General features: G+C 39.4%; 1 protein-coding gene across 5 annotated transcripts in view; it reads left to right on the top strand.

Moving 5' to 3' along the window:
- Positions 1 to 20,783, top strand: part of USP46 (ubiquitin specific peptidase 46) — a 68,342-nt gene that overhangs the window by 28,037 nt on the left and 19,522 nt on the right. For 4 of the 5 annotated variants that reach the window (NM_022832.4, NM_001286768.2, XM_047416088.1 and 1 more), the window contains 4 exons: positions 121 to 201; positions 3,102 to 3,315; positions 5,018 to 5,247; positions 20,648 to 20,724. In NM_022832.4, coding sequence (NP_073743.2) covers positions 121 to 201; positions 3,102 to 3,315; positions 5,018 to 5,247; positions 20,648 to 20,724 — 602 coding nt within the window. The remainder of the gene's footprint in view (positions 1 to 120; positions 202 to 3,101; positions 3,316 to 5,017; positions 5,248 to 20,647; positions 20,725 to 20,783) is intronic. The other variant, NM_001286767.2, reaches the window with a different exon arrangement.

Genomic DNA, 20,783 nt, shown 5'->3' with positions numbered 1-20,783 from the left:
ATCAACAAATACCGTGTTGACCAGGGAAGATGCTTGTCTCAATAGTAGACTCTTTTAGGTATGATTTTACTTTTTGTCTATTTTACATGCAACAGAACTTTTGCTATTTTTCTCTTTTAGGGCACCAATGCCTCTGCTCTGGAAAAAGACATTGGTCCAGAGCAGTTTCCAATCAATGAACACTATTTCGGATTGGTCAATGTAAGTATGTAAAATGTATTATTTTCATCAAATGTTTTAGGGTATATGAAGCAACTCCACTTTAAGTGCATTTTTATCACTACCAATTTTTAAATGATTGGTCATGCTCCGTAGTTAGTAGAATGCCAATATTGGGGAGAAAGCAACTTAACCTATTTTTGAAAGTATGAGTTGTCCCAGCAAAAAACATTTAATTATTGCATTTTGGGTCAAATTTACATTTTCCCCCCATGCTTTAAGGAATTTCCTTTGCACACATAACTTTCATAATAATTTCATTAGTCTTTGTAGCCAAATCTGATTTTTTCTTTTTTTTTTTTTTTTTTTGAGACAGAGTCTTGCTCTGTCGCTCAGGTTGGAGTGCAATGGCACAATCTTGACTCACTGCAACCTCCACCTCGTGTGTTCAAGCGATCTCCTACCTCAGCCTCCCGAGTAGCTGGGATTACAGGCATGCGCCACCATGCCCAGCTAATTTTTTAGTAGAGACAGGGTTTTGCCATGTTGGCCAGAGCTCCAGACCTCAGGTGATCCACCTGCTTCGGCCTCCCAAAGTGTGGGGATTACAGGTGTGAGCCACTGCACCAGGCCCGAAATCTGCTTTTATATGTTCTGCCTGTGTCATTTGGATGAACTGTTCAGCCAGTCTTTGTTTAAGTATGCATCAGTACAACCAGTGTTTTAAAAACATTACCAGCACATTGCCAGTGTCTTTCTTTAACAGTGTAACTTGCTGGTGTACCTGAAGCAGGACAGGTTGGGAGAGAAAACTGGGACCATTTTATCTCAGAATTCCTGGCCTCATTTTTTTTGCACTCAGCAGTAACCTCCTTTGTAGAAGGCTGGACCCAGCAGCTCTGCTTCCTTGGCAGGTTAATGATAACGGAGTAGTAACACGGTAGAGGCGGTGTGCCCTCCATCCTCGTGAGCTTTCTTCTTCACTTGATCCTTTTTCTCTGGGATGTAGGTGTTAAGTGACATCAAATATTAACTCAAAAACAATTGGTTTTCTGAATAATTATGCTGAACGTAGTCTGTCAATGCCCAGGTGTGGTAAGTAGTAATTTCCACTGGGAAAGTTGGAAATAATTCTCTGCAAGTAAATGCTGCCCATGATATAATAGGAAGAACATTGGCTTTAATGTAATACAGACCTCGGTTTGAATTCTGCCTGTGCTACTCCCTAGCTTGTGTGATCTTGGGCAAGTCACTTGCACTCTCTGAGCCTCCATTTCCCCATCTGTAAAGTGGGGGTCATAATGGCTTCTACCCTTTGGGTGATAATGAAGGGTAAATGAGAGCGCCTATTTAAAACCCTGACATGAAGCTGAGACATACTGTGGACACTCGGTAAATGTTCGTTCCTTTCCCTTCCCAGGAGTTGTCCACTGAATTGGGGCCAAGCGTTACTGAAGGGTGTCTGGGGAAAGGTGAGATACTGAGTAAGAGAGGAAAAAATGGAAGGAGGAAAGCTAAGCCCTGGAATATAGGGCATTGTGTTGGTGAAATACTGACTTATGATTTTAAAACAAACTTTTTAGCCATTTTGCACAGGCCTCTGCTTAGCCCTGTGAAGTGAGTTATTCAAGGCATGGGGATTCTGCCCTGGCTAAGAAAAATACAAATGCAGATAGTGGAGAGAGAGAAAAAAGAGAAAGAATTAAGGCCATTTCCTAGTTTGTGTAAGGTTTGTGGGATCTGTGTTTATTAATAGCTTCATTTATGTTCCCTTTGAATGGTAATTTATGAAAGTTCCAGCTTCTCTGTACAAAGAGGTTTGTCTCCTGTTACATAATTGTGTCAAAGTAGATTAAAATATAAAAATAGGAAGCCTTCTATCTTAGCATACATAGAAATGTCATGTTAAGTATGGCAGAGCATCTGTCTCGCTCTTGGGTAAACGACACACAAGCCAACAACCAGTTTTGAGAAGGTGTTCATGTTCTATTTTAATCTTACATAGCATTTCATAATCTGTGTTATTAATCTTGTTAGTTATTTCCTTAGAATTTTTTTCTTTAAATTTTATTGTGCACAACAAATTCTAAAGTGATAGTCTCAGCTGTGTTCTTCTACAGAGGTGGTCTTATAGTCAGTAGAAAATCAGTGAGACGTTTTCCCTCTTTAATAATAATCTCAGTATCCATGCTTTGTGAGAGGTATAAAATGTTACTGGGTGGGCCCTAATGTGATTGCAGGCTAGGAACTTGGGTAGTATTGCATTGGCACAATTGCCGCCTTGGCAGAAGCAAGATCAAGGGCCATTTAGAAGTCCAGAGGGTGGGAAGCTGGGAGAGTGACATGAGGCAGCATATTTTTGCCTGCGTTGCTGTGTTGCTCGGGGTTAAGTGAGGAAATGTGGTCTGAGCCAGTGGGCAGGAGTACTGGAATATTGAAAAATGAAAACCAGCCCCTGTTCAGTTTAGGCTGTTTCAGCCGAGCAAGTGGTTCCTAATTACTGGATTTCTTTTTGATTCATATTTTTATTTTCCCTGTCATGGGAGTTTTGATATGTTGCAATGTGCATCTTTTATTTAGCCAGCTGCTTTCCTGGGTCTCCACAGTATGTAGATTTTTTTCCCCTTCTCTTTCTCTGTTTTTTAAGCACCAGCAGGTCTCGTTAGACTCTTTATTGAGGTAGAGTGCTTATTATCATTTTAGAGACTTTGATGGGCTAGAGAAGCACCGGAATGATGTGCATTTTTCTTCATTTCTCTGTGGATCAGATGGTCACTGGTGTTTAGAGTAGTTAACTAGTTTTCTAATATGGTGAGCTGGACTCCAATACAGGGACATCCAGGCCAGTTCACGGAGCAGGGACCTTCTCACCCTCACCACTTATTCCAGAGGTGGCTCATCCCCAGGCAATGACTTGAGCCATCCCTCTTGTCCCTTGGCAGTTTGGAAACACATGCTACTGTAACTCCGTGCTTCAGGCATTGTACTTCTGCCGTCCATTCCGGGAGAATGTGTTGGCATACAAGGCCCAGCAAAAGAAGAAGGAAAACTTGCTGACGTGCCTGGCGGACCTTTTCCACAGCATTGCCACACAGAAGAAGAAGGTTGGCGTCATCCCACCAAAGAAGTTCATTTCAAGGCTGAGAAAAGAGAATGGTGAGTAGTATGCAGTATAATGTATTTAAGCCTCTGAAATAAGGAGAATTGATGGTTCTGTATCTCCTCAAAAGGAAGAGCTGGCATTTTTTTGAAAAGGGAAAATAAGCATGGTTAACTACTCGGTGTCATTTTTTAAGAAACAACATTTCTTCTCTGCCCAGTAAACTTAAAACAAAACTGGGTTAGAAACATGCTTAAAAACGCACATTTATTATTCCAATTTAGAATGACCATTTTATTTGCTCCATTCTGGGCAGGATCATTGTAAGAGAGAATAGTGTCCAAGGCAGCCTTCGGAGTGGGATACTCATTGGCCTAAATTGGTTGATGCAATAATTAAATAAAATAGTACTGGCTTATAAACTTGTCATAGGTGATTAAAATAAGTGCCTGTTATCTAATCAGAGCCTCTGCTGTTTTAAATACAATACCTCTGATTTTCATTTGCCTGAGGTAATTGAAGGATATCAAATTGATTGCTTTATATGGTTTTTAAAAGTCCTGATTTTTCTGGTTTTTCTATCTTCTTCTTCTGGGGGATTGGTAGTAGAAACTAGGTGTGTATTCCAGAAGTTTTGTATTGGCAGTTTTTATGACTATAAAGATATTTGTTATGGCAATTACTATTTATCTTAGATTCAGCCTTACTTCATCAGACGTGCATGGTTAATCAGGTATTTGTTTTATAAAGTCTCTTTTAATTTGATTGCTGTATTTTGAAGTTACAGTTTATACATACCAGATTAAAACTAATTTCAGTGGAGAAGGAAGCAGAGCACTCTGTCGAGTTGTGAACGTGATTAATAATGAAGGTTCACAGCTGCATTCATCTCTGATTGTTTGTCCTTATGGCAGGGAGCAGCACTAGGCTTCTGGAATCATTTGTATTTGGTTTCGGAACACTATCAGATAGATGCTTGCTCACACATACCCTCATCTCCCTTCTGTGTTTCATCTAAGCTGCTTCCAGGCTGGTCCAGGGTTTAATATGATCTTTGGGAGGACACCCCAGTTGCTCTGAATAAATTACCCAATGAATAATTAATTGATCATTGGTAGTTACATCATATTAAAAATTGATATTTTATCAGGGAACTTATCTGATAACTTCTGTTCCTTTGTAGAACAAATAGAACTTTTGGTAGTTTTATATAAATGTGATGACTTTAGGGAGATACGGGAAATTTTGTTCTTGGTGCATGGCAGAAAATGGAAATGAATTAAAAAAGCTCTTTGGAAACTTACTCATTGAAGCTGCCTGGTAGAGATGAGTATATTTATATTCCATACCTGTCCATCCTTTCAATATAAAAGTTGAAGTATGGGCCAGGCGCGGTGGCTCACGTCTGTAATCCCGGCACTTTGGGAGGCCAGGGTGGGCAAATCACAAGGTCAAGAGATTGAGACCATCCTGGCCAACATGGTGAACCTGGTCTCTACTAAAAATACAAAAATTAGCTAGCTGGGTGTGGTGGCATGCACCTGTAGTCCAGCTACTCAAGAGGCTGAGGCAGGAGAATTGCTTGAACCTGGGAGGCAGAGGTTGCAGTGAACTGAGATCATGCCACTACGCTCTAGCCTGGCGACACAGCGAGACTCCATCTCAAAAAAAAAATATTTAAGTATGGCATGTAACACTAATTACATCCATTTGCTTTTCAAGAACCAGAGACTGAAATAACCACCTTCTCCTTTCCAGATCTCTTTGATAACTACATGCAGCAGGATGCTCATGAATTTTTAAATTATTTGCTAAACACTATTGCGGACATCCTTCAGGAGGAGAAGAAACAGGAAAAACAAAATGGAAAATTAAAAAATGGCAACATGAACGAACCTGCGGAAAATAATAAACCAGAACTCACCTGGGTCCATGAGATTTTTCAGGGAACGCTTACCAATGAAACTCGATGCTTGAACTGTGAAACTGTAAGTACTAGGGGAGCTCTTATGTAGCTCGCATGTTCATATTTATGTACGCTATGTTGCATGTGATTGCAATGTCGTATTATAGCATTTAGCAGTTATTTGCAGTGTATGTAAATAATCCTATTTATGCATATGAAACTCAAGTACAAACTTTTGGAAGCACATATCCATCCAGGATGTCTCAGCAGGCCAAAGCTGAATAATAAAGGAAAATCTCCTCAAATGCTGAATTGCTTTACACCATGGGGAAATTTTGGGGTCTACAGATTTAATCTATTGAATTGGATGTCAACCAGTTACCTTGCAAAGATTTTGGTCATGGGGAGGTCTTGTGTGATGTAGAACAGGACCATCACCCCAGTTTAGAGGCAGTCAGCTGTGGTATGTTGAACTTGAAGTCAGAAGACAGGCTAGACTCCTGTTTTTACAGCAGTTAACTGGGTATTTGGGGCGAGTTACTTACAGCACTGTTTTGAGGGTTGGATGAGCTTATGTGTTTGGATGGGTCTGACACATGGTAGGTACATAATGTTAATTGAATTTGAAGACATGTTCTCCAGAGCATGATTCAGGATGTCATATTTTCTTGGCATGTTTAACTTCAACTCTGTGGGTGGCCTCATATTTTGCTGCTTAAGAGCTGAGCTCTGGAGCCAGGCTGCCCAAGTTTGTATGCTGGCTTTTCTGCTTGTTAGCTAGTGGAACCTGTGCAAATTATTAATCTTCTCTGTCCTCACTTTCTTCATCTATAAAATAGGGATGATGAGAATGCCCATCTTGGAGGGTTGGTGGGAGGATTAAATGAGTTGACACCTAGAGCCATGCTTGGCACATGGCAAGTAGGCAATAAATGTCAGGTATTATTTTTTATTATAACTACTACTGACAGCATAGAAAGTCTATGGGTTCATTAAGGATCTCAGAGTTTCCTGACATTGTATGGAAAATTCTATAAGATTGTGCATTTTTCTGGAAAGAGAGGTAGTAGCTTTTGTCAGATTTTGCAAAGAGCCTGTGTCTTAGTCTGGTCTGCTACAACGCAATCCCTCATGAGTTGCTTAAACAACAGAAATTCATTTCTCACAGTTCTGGAGGCTGAAAGTCCCAGATGAAGGTGCTAGCAGGGTCAGGTTCTTGGTGAGGACCTTCTTTCTGCCTTGCAGACAGCTGTCTTCTGGCTGTGTCCTCACTTGGTGGAGATAGAGAAAGCAAGCTCTCTCGGGTCTCCTTTTATAAGGGTACAAATCTTATCATGAGGGCTCCACCCTCATGACCTGTTTGCCTCCCAGAGGCCCATCTCCAAATACCATCCTATTAGAGATGAGGGTTTCAAAGTATGAATTTTGGGAGGACACAGACATTCAGTCCATTGCGAGCTGTGACCCAGAAATGTTTAAGAAATGTAGACTTACACATCAACATCTATGTAAAGGGAGAAGTTTTTAGGTTTTGGCAGTCTTTCTTCCATGCTTTTAAACAATTTTTGAGTCAAGCATTCTGTTTTACCCATTGTAGAAGCAATGAGAAAACACAGCTAAACAAAAAGAGACTAAAAGTTACCGGTAATCTTCCCACCCAGAGATGGTGAATTTGTAACGTTCTAAAATTTGTGATCACATTAGCCCAGAGATAACCACTTGAACATTTAAAAATATATCCTGTCAAAACACTTTCTGCACATAAATATGCCAATAAGTATCCAGAGATCTTCCCTCCCTGCCACTGTCTCTGTATTGCTTTCTCTTCTTCTCTCCCTCCCATTTTCCCTCTGTTCCTTTCTACTTTACATTCCAGTAAAATTCAAATGAATACAAAAGTAGAGGCAGTAGTATGGTATTTCCCATGTGTGTATTATTCAGGATCAGTGATTGTTAACACTTTGGCCAATCCTAATCCTCCCCGCCAACCCCCCAACCCCAACACACCCTTTTTACCTTGCAATTTATTTTTTAAAGAAATCAGGGTGTTTGTCCTATAGCATTTCCCACATTCTGGAAACATTCTTGTGGTGTACTTTAACATGTATGGTAAAATGGCAGTATGTTTCTACCACCCTACTCTTTGTTTTTATTTTTATTTTATTTTTTTAATTTTTTTTGAAACAGAATCTCGCTCTGCTGCCTAGGCTGGAGTACAGTGGCTTGATCTCAGCTCGCTCCAACCTCTGCCTCCCGGGTTCAAGTGATTCTCCTGCCTAAGCAGGAGCTGGGATTACAGGCGCCCACCACCACGCCTGGCTAACTCTTGTATTTTTAGTAGAGATGGGATTTCACCATGTTGGCCAGGCTGGTTTCGAACTCCTGACCTCAAGTAATCTGCCTGCTTTGGGCTCCCAAAGTGCTGGGATTACAGGCGTGAGCCACTGCACCTGGCCCCTACTTTTTGTTTTTATTTAATTAATCTATTTTATATTCATTTTTCTCTCTTCTTTTGGATCAATGAAATATTTTTCATTTTTTTGGCATCTAATGTATTACATTTCCAAATTCATTTAGAGGTTGCTCTAGAGATTACAACATGCATCCTTGACTTATTTCATTTTGTTTCCACTTTTCCAACAGTTAGAGCCTTTAATATACTTTATCGCCCTCTGTCTTTTGTGTTACCATTTTGTGATGAACTCATGAATTTTAACATATTTCATGTGTTTTAATCCATTATAGTTTTTTATTCCTTTTGATATTCAGTTTATTTTCAGAATAACTTTGTATACGTTTAAACATCAAAATTAGGGCTATATTGTAAATATGACAATTGACAGATTTTCAGTCTTTTTCATTTAATAAGGGTGTACTCCTTCTCACCATCCTTACCTCACCTCTTAAATCTATTCTGTTGCCACTCCCTGTCTGCTCTATCTCCCTTAAGATACTTTTCTTCCTCCCTGCTACTCCCATCCTGGCTCAGGCACCCATCAACTCTTGGCTGGCAGTCTCAACTAAACTACTGTAGTAACTCCTACTGGATTCTCTGTTTTTTCCTCTGGCCTTCCTCCATGTTACTCTCCTACCTAAAGTACAGTAGTGGCCTGCAGTCTCACTGAAAATACCACTGCCTACAAATTCTTATGTAAGCTGGCTCTGTCTGTCTCTGCAGGGTCATCTTTGCCATTCTGTTTCTTACTCTAGCTTCAGTGTAGCTTCTCAAGCCTTTCAAATCCCTTCCTGCTTCAGGTCCTTTGCACATGCCACTTTCTGTCTGGAATGCACACCACCTGCCCCTGTTGCTTGACTAAATCCTCTTCAGGTTTCAACTTGTGTTAAAACCCGAGAGAGGCCTTCTCTGAACTTCCAACTTAATGAAGTCACCTTGTATCATCTTACAATAGTCTAATTTTCTGTGATAGCACTTTGTTGTATTTATATATTTATCTATATGTATTTCGTATGCAGCATCTATCTTTCTTACTAAACTGTAAGATTGATGAGGACAGGGATAGTGTCGGTCTTGCTTCTCTCTCTGGTGCCCAAGGAGTATTTGACATATAATAATTAATAAATAGTTGAGTGAATAAATAAATGAAAATGTTTGTCATGTTTCTTGAAGAAGAAAACTATATGCTATGGGAAAAGATTTTGATTTATTTCATGAGGTAGAATTGAGGAATGATTTATAGTAAAGCCTGGTCTAGACTGGTAAGTCTTGAAATTATTTTTTAAATTAGGAAATATATCATTTTTTTAAAGAAGTATATGTGTGTGTGTATAACGTATGTTTATATATAGGCCACATATACATTTTAAAGAATAGTTTAAAAAATCCATATGCCCAACACCTATAAAAAAATGGAACATTAACAATAACTTTGAAACCCACTGTGTACTTCTTTGCAATTTAATTTTCCTCTCAGTCTCATCCTTTGCCCAGGAGGTGATCACTGTCTTCCATTTTGTGTGTCAATACTATCTTTTCTTTGTAGTTGTACATACATACGCATGTGTATTTCTAGACATTTACTTAGTTCTGCATGTTTATGGCTTTTATATAGATGAAATCACATACATGTATTCTTCTAAACTTGCTATTATCATTAAAGGTTATATTAATATTTTTGAGAATTGGCCATTTCTTGTAGCATGGTTCATTCATTGTTATCATTTTGTAGTATACCATTGTAGGAATATACTGCAGTTTGTTTTTCTGTTCTTCTATGGTGTGTCTAGTTTTTGGCTTGTAGACAGTGCTGCTACAAACTATCTCCTGGTCCCCATGGGCAAAATTCTCTCTGGGGTATCCTTTTGGGAGCAGAATTGCTGGCCATAGGGCATGTGCATCTTCAGATTTCCTAGGTAGTGCCAAATTGTTTCTAAAGTGGTGGTAAGTTAGTTACATTAGTAGAGGTTTTTTTTTTTTTATGTGTGTGAGACAGACTCTTGCTCTGTTACCCAGGCTGGAGTGTAGTAACACGATCTTGGCTCACTGCAACCTCTGCGTCCCAGGTTCAAGCAATTCTCCTGTCTCAGCCTCTGGAGTAGCCTGGATTACAGGTGTGCACCACCACGCCCGGCTAATTTTTGTATTTTTAGTAGAGATGAGGTTTTACCAAGTTGGTCAGGCTGGTCTTGAACACCTGACCTCAGGTGATCTGCCCACCTCAGCCTCACAAAGTGCTGGGATTACATACGTGAGCCACAGTGTGCAGTAACATTAATAGAGTTTCTAATGTTGACCCCACTTTGTATTTTTGTAATAAACTGAATTGGGGCTTTATCTTTTATATACATTGTTGGATTGTGAGATCTACGATTTTTAGGATTTTTTTGCCACTATATTTATTGCTGAGATTGGCTTGAACTTTTCCTCTCTCTACTGTACTTGTCTGGTTTTGCTATCAACATTCTGTAAAATTAGTTCTCTCTTTTCTTTGGAAGAGCTTCTATAAGTTTTTATCTATCTGTTCTTTGAATGTTTGATAGAACTGGTGACCTATTTTTGCATATCTGAAATATATAGTTCAGTTTGGCTTGTTTTTGATATTTTGATACATATAAATATGTATCCTTTGTGTTTTGCCTTTTGCTCAGTATCCCTTGTGAGATTCATTTGTGTTGTTGCATGATGCTTTAGTTTATTCGTTTTTATTGCTGTATGGTATTCTGTTGCATGAATGTGCCACAGTTTACTAATTCATTTTACTGTTGTTGGATATTTGGCTATTGCCAGTTTGGGGCAATATGAACAATGCAGCTATGAGCATTTTAATACATTTACTCTAGTGCACCTGAACCCATTTTCTCTAGGATGTGCACATCAGGTAAATCTGTTAGGTCATATGGTATGCTTTTCATTAACATCATTAGAAAGTGTCAAATTCCCAAAATGGTTATACCACTTTACACACTGAGTATATGAGCGAGTGCTTTCATTTCTCTACATCATCTGTCCCTGCTATTCTCATGTCTTCACTTTTGCTAATCTAGTGGCTTTGTACAGTATTCTTTTATTCAGTAAATATGTGGGGTTTTTTTCCCACATTTGCTATGTAAAAGCCTGAAGCACTGAGCGTACAGTGAGAGCCCTGCCTTTCTAGAACTTCCAGCATGGAGACAGACTTTAATGACAAAATGAATAATTAGTTAAGTAATTATAATTGCAAGATGCCGTGAAGAAGAAGAACAGATTACTTCATGAGTTTATGATATGGAAACCAGAACAAGGGGGCTTCAGTTCCTACATTTGTAGCTAGAAAACCTGCACCAGACTCTACAGTAACACTGTTGCTAAATCCATCTTTACTCTATGTGGATTTTCAGGAAGCCTCAGAAGATGGGCTCAGACACATCTGTAGTTGTTGTTGTTGTTGTTGTTTTTCTATGAAAAGGTCAGCTGACCCCAATAAATGCAAATATTGCATTGTCAAGTATTTATATTGCAAAAGCTTTTACCTAGCTTGTTATTTCCTGGAGGGTTATCTTGAGTGGGAAGCCTGTGCCCAAAAATGCCTTTGAAAATTTTGGATGATACTGTAGTATTTGTTATAATGGGATTCCAGCTGTTTATACTTGCTTTGTAGAAGTAGATGAGTGTGCAGGTATGTCTTTCTGGAAAATGGGGCAATCTGAAAAGCCTACTTTTCTTCCCCCTGAAATGATGAGATGATTTTAGGCAAGAGTGTTTTTTCTCTGGAGTTACTTGGATAATTACCTCCATTTTCTTAGATCCTTCAACTGGATGGGATCCTAGCAGTCATTTAATCTTTTTTTTCTACCAGTGCTGAGTCCCTTCTATGATATCCTAGCCAGTTGGTCAACAGCATCTGATGGACCCCGTCCAGAGGCAGGGAATCAATCTCCCAAGGCGTTGCATTCCATTTTTAGAAAGCTCTAATTGTTAGAAAGCCCTGTACTTTCTAAGAAAACACAGAGCCTGCAGGCTTTTTCTGTTACTATAAAGTGTTGAGGACTTAGTGTGCAAGAAGACCAAATGGGAAAGATTTCCTTCACCTGGATGAAAAACAGGGAGCCTCTTTTGAGTAACACCCTTTGCCTAGGGCAGACAGCCTTTAGATGGTGCTTCAGTCAGAATTGCCAAGACCCATGTTTATGAAGTCTCACTGTAGGATTAAATGGCACTAGATCCTGAGCAGCAAATTTGCCCCTGGGGGCACCTTGCCATTGTTGCTGCCTCAGCTGCTAGTTCCTTCAATCCTGGAAAACCTTTTTGCCAGCCTTCATGCTTTCAGAAAACAATGATTTTCTTTTTCTTTTTTTTTTTTTTCCTGGGTCTCACCCTTTGTAAATGTTGCTTATGATTGCAGTGCAAATGTCAACTGAGGGATTTATGGAGACAGTTTCATTCTGCAATAGACTTGGAGAGACTATTTTAAGGGGTAATTCATTGCTGACTTTTCCAGATAACCTTGATAAAGGCACTTCAGAATTGGGTCTTGGGGATTTTCCACTGTAGCCTTGCATGCTCCCTTGGTTATTCTTTTGTTTGGTTCGTAAGATTTGTTAGCCCAGTTGGAGCTTAATTTTGCCACTGTTTATTTTAATTTTCCCTCTTTCCATTTAAGCTGAGCTTTTGCTCTACAAATCTCTGATTTTTCCGTGCTTCTCAGTGGCTTTAACATGTTTGTATCTGTTACTGGAGCCAAAAGGTTGTTTTAAGAACTGCTTTATTAAGTACCAATTTTACAGCTCCTCATTGCTTTGTTTGCAGAGGTTCAAATTGATTCAGTAGAGTTTCTGAGGCTTTCGCAGATAGGAGTAGGGCTGGGTAATGGAGGGAGGTGTGATACTCAGTGGAGATTCTGAGTTCCAGAGATTCATTCAAATTGGTTGTAGTTGCACTTTTCCAAAGCCCACCATTGGGTACCTTTTAAAGCCAGCACATTTTCGGCTCATGATTGAACAGTGCAGAACAGCCACCTCATCACCTTTTCTACTGAACCCAAGAAAGGAATATGGGGATTTAGAAGCTGACTTTATTTATTTATTTATTTAGAGTTAGGGTCTCTCTCTGTTGCCCAGGCTGGAATACAGTAGTGCACACCACCATGCCTGGCTATTCAATAAGATTTTTTTTTTAGATGGAGTCTCACTCTGTCACCCAGGCTGGAGTGTAGTGGCGTGATCTTGGCTTACTGCAACCTCTGCTTCCTGGGTTCAAGCGCTTTTGCTGCCTTAGCCTCCCGAATAGCTGGAATTATAGGCTCCTGCCACCATGCCTGGTTAATTTTTGTATTTTTTAGTAAAGACAGGGTTTCACCATGTTGGCCAGGCTGGTCTTAAAATCCCGACCTCAGATGATCTGCCCACCTGAGCCTTCCAAAGTGCTGGGATTACAGGTGTTTTTGTAGAGTCTGGGCCTCACTATGTTGCCCAGGCTGGTCTTGAACTCCTGGCCTTAAGTAATTCTCCCACCTTAGCCATCCAAAGCACTGGGATTATAGGCGTGAGCCACTACTGTGCCTGGCCTGAATATGATTTTAATTACTTAAGAATTTAGCAAAGCTCATGATTTATAAGGTATACCCTTTCTGTAATCTATTTTACTAACTGATTTGTAGTTAATTACTTTAAAAAGAATATTAAATGAGGTCTCTTTATGCTTTTAAACTAAGAGTTTTTGAGAGACCTCCATGCTCAAAATTGAGGGAGAAGAAAGGAGAATAAGATATAGCTTGTACTTGCTAAGAGTATTGGAGTCTCTTAGTGATAGATGTTTCCTTGGAGACAAGCTGTATTTTCAGTTAGACCAGAATGAGATCCTTGTGTGTGGGAAGAAAATGGTTTTCTTTTCTGGCAGCTTTCTTAGAAGAGAGAGAAGCAAGAAAACCCAACAACAACAAAAAAACCCCACAGAACCCCCAAACCAACACCCTTCCTCCACGCCCCACCCCAAAAAAACCACATTATTTGATCATTAATTGCTTTTGACTATGTCATTCTAGGGCAAGGAGAGAGAAAAATCCAAACGGAAAGCTTTTGCGCCATGTTTTGATAGCCCCTGCAGGGGTGATTCCTCTGAGCAGTGCTTTCACACACTCTAATTCTAGTAGCAGTTTGCATTTGGAATTGAGAGAGGTACAGTGACTTTTTTCAGTTAATGAATTATATTTGTTCCATTTCTCCTTCTCTCCAAAACCATTAAGTTCAGAAAAAGATTTGCATCCAACAGGACAAAATGTTTTTGTTTTTATTACCTTCTTTGTATAAGAGCTTAAGTAGAATGAGATCCTAGCTATCTAATTTATTTATGGTTTCAGTTGGCTATAATCCTCTTATTTCAGAGAAGGGCCATTTAGGTTAAGAAAAAAGTTCTGCTAATTAAGGAACATACTGTGGATTATTTTTAAAAATTAGAAACAGAAATGAATAAAAAAGTCATGATTCTGCCACTCAGATGCCACTGTTGTCATTTAGATATCTTTCCATTTGTTCAGTCTTCTGTTCAGTTATTACTTATTTAGTAAATATTTATTTCCTATTAAATGCTGGGAATTATTTTAGGTACTAAGGATATAGCAGTTAAAGTAGAAAAATGGTCCCTTTTGTTTACTAGCATACAGATATAAAGCTATAAATTTCCCTTTAAGCATTGGTTTAGCTGCATGCTACAAATTTTGATGGTATGTTTTCTTTGGCATTAGTTCAAAATATTTTCTAATTTCTCCTGTGATCTTTTTTATTTGATCCATACACTAATTAGAAGTATGCTGTTTAATTTCCAAATATTTGGGATTTTCTTATATATCCTAATAGTATTGATTTCTAATTTTGTTGTGGTTAGGGAATATATTCTGTAAGATTTCAGTTTTAAATTTATTGAGATATGTCTTATGTCCTTCCACATGGTCTGTCCTGGTAAATGTACCATCTGCCCTTGAAAACAGGGTCTCTCAGGCAGGCACGGTGGCTCATGCCTATAATCCTAGCACTTTGGGAGGCTGAGGCGGGCGGATCACCTGAGGTTGGGAGTTTGAGACCAGCCTAGCCAACATGGTGAAACCCTGTCTCTACGAAAAATACAAAAATTAGACGGGTGTGGTGGCCCATGCCTCTAATTCCAGCTACTTGGGAGGCTGAGGCACAAGAATCACTTGAACTCAGGTGGCGGAGGTTGCAGTGAGCTGAGATTGCACCACTGCACTCCAGCCTGAGTGACAAAGCAAGACTCCGTCTCAAAGAAGGAAAGAAGGGAAGGAAGGAAGGAAAAGGGAAGGGAAGGGAAGGGAAAGGAAAGGAAAGGAAAGATCTCTTAGTGTCAGAACTATTGACATTCTGAATCAGATAATTCTTTGTTGTTGGGGACAGCCCTGTGCATTATAGGATGTTAAGCAGCATCTCTGGCTTCTACCTGCTAGATGTCAGTAGCATCTCCCAAGATACAACATTGAGAAATGTTTCCAGACATTGTCAGATGTCTCCTGGAAGCCAAATTTCCCCTGTTGAGAACTACTTAGTTGAAAAGAATATTTGGCAGTTGTTGGGTGTGGCATTCTATAATTGTTAGTTAGATATGTTGGTTGATAAAGTTATTCAGATCCTTTATGTCTTAGTTGACTTTCCCCCTACTAGCTTTTCTACCAGTTGCTGAGAAAGGAGCATTAAAATATTTTTGTGGGATTGTTCTGTTTCTCCTTTTAATTCTGTCAATTTTTGTTTTATGAATTTTTTGACTTTTTAAAAACAACTTTGGTGAGGTATAATTTACGTGCCATAAACCTATCCAGTTAGTGATTTTTTTTCTTTAAGTAATTTGCTGAGTTGTGTAACCAGTACTGTAACCTAGTTTTAGAAAATTTTCATCACACCAGTAAGATCCCTCATGACTGGCAGTTAATTCCTGTTTTATTTGAGGTCACTACTAATCTACTTTTTGTCTTTAGAGATTTGCCTTTTCTGGATGTTTCATGTAAATGGAATCATACAATATGTGGTCTTTTATGTATGACTTCCTTCACTTACATAACGTTTTTGAGATTCATTGGTGGTGTAGCATGTATCAGGAGTTTATTCCCTTTTGTTGGTGAAATAGTGTTCCAGCTTCATGTGTTTTTGAGGCTCTATTATGGGGGCTATCCATATTTGACTGTTGTGTTTTTCTGATAAGTTGACATTCTTATCATTAGGAAATGTCCTCTTTTATTTCTCTTAATAACTTTATCTTAAAACCTATTTTATCTGATATTAGCCCTCTACAAACTTACGCTAACTCTTCGCATAGTATGTCGTTTTTCCAACCATTTACTTTCAACCTGTGTCTTTATATATAAAGTTTAGCTCTTGCGGACGGCATAGAAATTGGTCTTGCCTTAAAAAAACAAATACTTCCTTCAATTTTTGTCTCTTACTTGTAATTATTAGTCCATTAATGTTTATGGTAATTATTGATATAGTTGGGTTTGGGGCTGCCATTTCATTTGTTTTCTATTTATTTCCTCTATTTTTTGTTCTTCTGTTCCTCTTCTATATTTTCTTTTTGAATTATTTTTTGAATATATTTTTATAATTCCATTTTAATTTTCCTCTTGATCTTTTCTGAGTACATTTTCGCATGCCTGGGTGTATTTTTAGTGATTTTGCTAGAGATTACAATAGACATTCTTCACTTTTCACAGTATCCTTACACATAATAATGATACTATTTCACATAAAATGTAGAAAGCATATAAATATATAGGTGTATATTCCCTCTGCTCCCACTCTACCTTGTTCTTTATGCTGTAGTTGTTATATATATTACATTTATGTAGAATATAAATCCCACAGGACAGTGTTATGCCTTTTCCTTTAAAGAGGTGTGAATATTATACAAAAATTAAGAGGAAAAAAGTATTTTGTATTTGCACAAATATTTATCATTATTGATGCATTTTATTCTTAAGGATCTGGATTTCAAACTGGTGTCATTTCTCTTTGGCTTGAAGAATTTCCTTTCACCTTTCTTGTGATGCAGGTCTCTTATATCAATGAATTCTCTTCATTTTGCCTTCATTCTTGAATGATCTGTTTGTGGCATATAGGAATTCCAGGCTAATCATTTTTTTCTTTCAGCACATGAAAGATGCTTCACTGTCTTCTGGCCTCCATAGTTTCTGCTGAGAGGTCAGCTGCCAATTGGATCATCCTATTGTCCTTTTCTTTGGTAGATGTTTCAGATTTGCTTTTTATTTTTGGTTTTCAACAGTTTGGCTGTGAGGCACCTTGGCTGACCTTCTTTGTATTTATCCTGCTTGGTGTTGGTTGAGTATCTTGAATCTATTAATGGATGTCTTTCACCAAATTTGGGAAATACTCAGCGTTTATTTTCTCAAATAGTTCTACTGCCCTATTCTCCCTTTTCTCCCCTTCTAGGACTCTGATTATATGTACAGTATTAGCTAAAAGATTCCTGAGTATCTGTTAATTTTTACTTCAATCTTTTTTCTTTAGTCCTCATTGGATAATTTCCACTGATCTGTCTTCATATTCACTTGTTTTTTCCTCTGTCACCTCCACTTTGCTGTTAAATTCATTCAATGTATTGTGTTTTTCAGTTCCAGAATTTCTATTTGATTCTTTTTTATTGTTTCTATTTCTTTACTGGGGTTTCACGTTTTTTGATGCATTGCGAGTATATTTTATTTTACTGATGATAGTTATAATGGCTTCTTTAAAATCCTTGTCTGCTAATTCCAACATCTGGGTCATCCCAGGATTGGTCTTAGTTTATTTTCTTTTAACAATGTCTTAGGTAAGACATTTGTCACATAGTGTAAATTTAGATCTTATTCAGAACATTGAGAATGTTAAGTGGCAGAGACTCTGGATTCTGTTAGTTTTCTTTTCTTTTCTTTTTTTTTTTTTTTTGAGATGGAGTCTTGCTCTGTCACCCAGGCTAGAGTGCAGTGGCGAGATCTCGGCTTACTGCAACCTCCGCCTCCTGGGTTCAAGTGATTCCCCTGCCTCAGCCTCCCAAGTAGCTGGGATTACAGGCGCCTGCCACCGCACCCAGCTAATTTTTGTATTTTTAGTAGAGACGGGGCTTTATCATCTTGGCCAGGCTGGCCTCCAACTCCTGACCATGTGATTCACCTGCCTCCACCTCCCAAAGTGCTGGAATTACAGGTGTGAGTCACCACACCCGGCCGGATTCTGTTAGTTTTCTTTAATGCATATTGAGTTTCTTTAGTTTTAACAGGCACTTATCTTGGTTGGACCCAAACTATTCACTATGTTTCTTGGGTGACAGCTTGAATCTTGGGTGGCAGCCATTTTGTTAATAGCCAGGTTGCTTTGTGTGTATTCCATGCATGGGTGGATCAGGGGTCAGCCACATGTGGGGAGAGTTGGAGATACCCTCTTTCCTTTCTTTCCAGTGGGCATGGTTTCCCAGATTTAGTCTTCTGGCTTGCAGACCGGAAAGACTGCATTTCCCCCTCAGCACCCCAAGCTAAAGGCCATGAAACCATGAACTCGTTGTGTACAGCTCTCCTCCTCCAAGTGTGGACTCCCCATGTGCTTGCTTGTGTTCACTCTCCAGTGCCTTCAGGTAGCTGCTTTTAGTTTTTGGTTATGTGAGTTTATAGTTTCTAGTTTTCTGGAGGAGTATTGGTGTGCTGGGATCTTAGTTACTATGGAAGCCAGTCTTTTGAACTTTCATTTTAGCGAGGGGGAGACAGACAGTAAACATATAAAAATAAAACATATAAAAGGATAAGTGGTTGTATCAGTTACCTATTGCTTTGTCACAAACCACCCCAAAACTCTGAGCCTTAAACTATCATTTGTTATTATAACTCATGCAATGGTGGGTTGGCTTGTGGTCGACTAGTCTAGGCTGGACTCAGCTAAACTTGTGTGTTTGTAGTTCAGCTAGCCCACTCACGTGTCTGCAAGATCACTAGGGGTTTTACTCTAGATTGGGCTTGGCTGGAATGCCTTGGTTAGGACAGCTTTCCTCCATGAATCTCTCCTCTTCCTGGGAACAGCAGGCTAGCCTGGGGTTATCCTTCTTACAGTGATGCAAGAGAGCAGTTTCACAAATGCTTGATCTGGCTGGCCTCTGCTGGTGGTAACCTGCCTTCTAGCATCCCACTGGCCAAGGCAAGTCACATGGTCACACTCAGACTTAAGGGTGGCAAAACATAATCACCTCTTGATGAGAGTATCTGTGAAGCCATATGACAAAGAAGCCAGTAGAGGCAATGGTGAGGATTTGGGGCTACTAATGCATTCTACCATGGTAGAAATAAACGTCATTAAAAAATTAAAACAGGATGGTAGAGAATGCCAAGGGAGGGGATGCATGTGTGTAAGTATAAAGATGCCTTTTTTATACGAAGTTGGGATTAACTTATATGTAGTTGTATAACCTAGTTTTTCAATTAGTGTGATAACCACAATGTAGAAAGCCATTCCCAACTTTTTGACCATTTTAGGCCACTTAAAATGTTTTATCCCTTCCTAATTTATTGAGTCCTTACTTTTTAAAGCACTTCACATGTATTATCTTATTTCCTCCTTACAACAGCCTTATGAGATAGACACTCTTGTTGTCCCCACTTTACAGATGAGGAAACAGAGGCTGAGTAGCTGGCCTGAAGCCATCGACTTTATATAAACGGCAGAGACGGGATACGGATCTGGGCAATAACCATTCTTGTGTCTCAGTATCCATTCCTGTGTGTACTTTTTTTTTTGAGACAGGGTCTCACTGTGTCACCCAAGCTGGAGTCAGTGGCACAATCTCAGCTCACTGCAACCTCTGCCTCACAGCTTCAAGCGATTCTCCTGCCTCAGCCTCCCAAGTAACTGGGATTTTTACAGGCATGTGCTACCATGCCTGGCTAATTTTTTGTATTTTTAGTAGAGACGGAGTTTCACCATGTTGGCCAGGCTGGTCTTGAACTCCTGACCTCAAGTGATCCACCTGCCTCAGTCTCCCAAAGAGCCGTGATTACAGGTGTGAGCCACCACGCCTGGCCCCCATTTGTACTTCTAAAAGTATAAAAGAGTGTATTCACATCTCTGAATATTTCTTCAGATAACTTCTGGAATTTTGGGTCATAGGGTAGTTGTCACACTTTAAAAAGAATGTTGTTTTCATTTTGCTGCTAAATGACTGAGCACCTGAAGGTTGTTGCCAGCTGTTCCTGCTACTCCGGGAACAAGACAGTAAAACCCCAGGGTTGTCAGTGAATTAGTGGGAAGTAAGCACTTATTCAGTGAGCCTTGAGATATATGAGATCTAGAATTAGTGTGGAGTGAGCTGTTGAAGGCTGAGAGACAGCTGGGGCCACCGAACCGGCTCAGCTGAGAGCTGCCCACGGTATGGCGGGCCTGTGTGAGCCCAGGCTGCAGGCCAGCCCCAGGTCTGGTCATTGTCATGGACAGCACAGGGCTCTGCATGTGATGACCACTTCCTGGCCAAAGGACAGCTTTGTGTGTGGTCAGTGCGATTCTCCAGCCCATTGCCTGTCAGGCTCCCTGGCCCACCACACAGTTTGAATGATGGGGCAAGGGAGAAAGGGAGTGATTTCAAGGGACTGGCAAAAAGTGGAAACGACTCAACAAGGGATGGTCATCTGGGTGGTAGATTTTATAAGTCTCTTGTCCTTTTTCCATTTCCATTTTTATCACTCTGCAATCTGGGCTATATGGATATTTAATAATACTCCCTACTTTGAAACGATGGGAAAAATGAATGGAGAGGAAGAGAAATCTGGTTGAGTTTTAACTATTAAAAGCTGTGAGTCAAAACTGGGAAGGGGATGAGGTTAAATTGAGAATTTGGGATTTTCTCTAGATTGGGTTGTTTTTGAGGTAACTGGGTGCCAATGAGTATACATGTCCATGCAGGACTTTAACTGCAGTTATGGTTTTTATTGCAGTCGGTGATTACCTATACATGTTCAAAGTTTTATCTACTACATATTTCATGCCTAATATATTGTTTCTGTTTTTTGTTTCAGGTTAGTAGCAAAGATGAAGATTTTCTTGACCTTTCTGTTGATGTGGAGCAGAATACATCCATTACCCACTGTCTAAGGTATATGAACTCTGAGGCAGTTTGAGCTTTTGATCAGGCTTGTAACTAAGTGGGAGAGA

Source organism: Homo sapiens, chromosome 4 (assembly GCF_000001405.40).
Source record: "Homo sapiens chromosome 4, GRCh38.p14 Primary Assembly".
Classification (NCBI taxonomy): domain Eukaryota; kingdom Metazoa; phylum Chordata; class Mammalia; order Primates; family Hominidae; genus Homo; species Homo sapiens.
The sequence above is the reverse complement of the archived record's forward strand: the minus strand, read 5'-3'. Positions and strand labels throughout refer to the sequence as shown.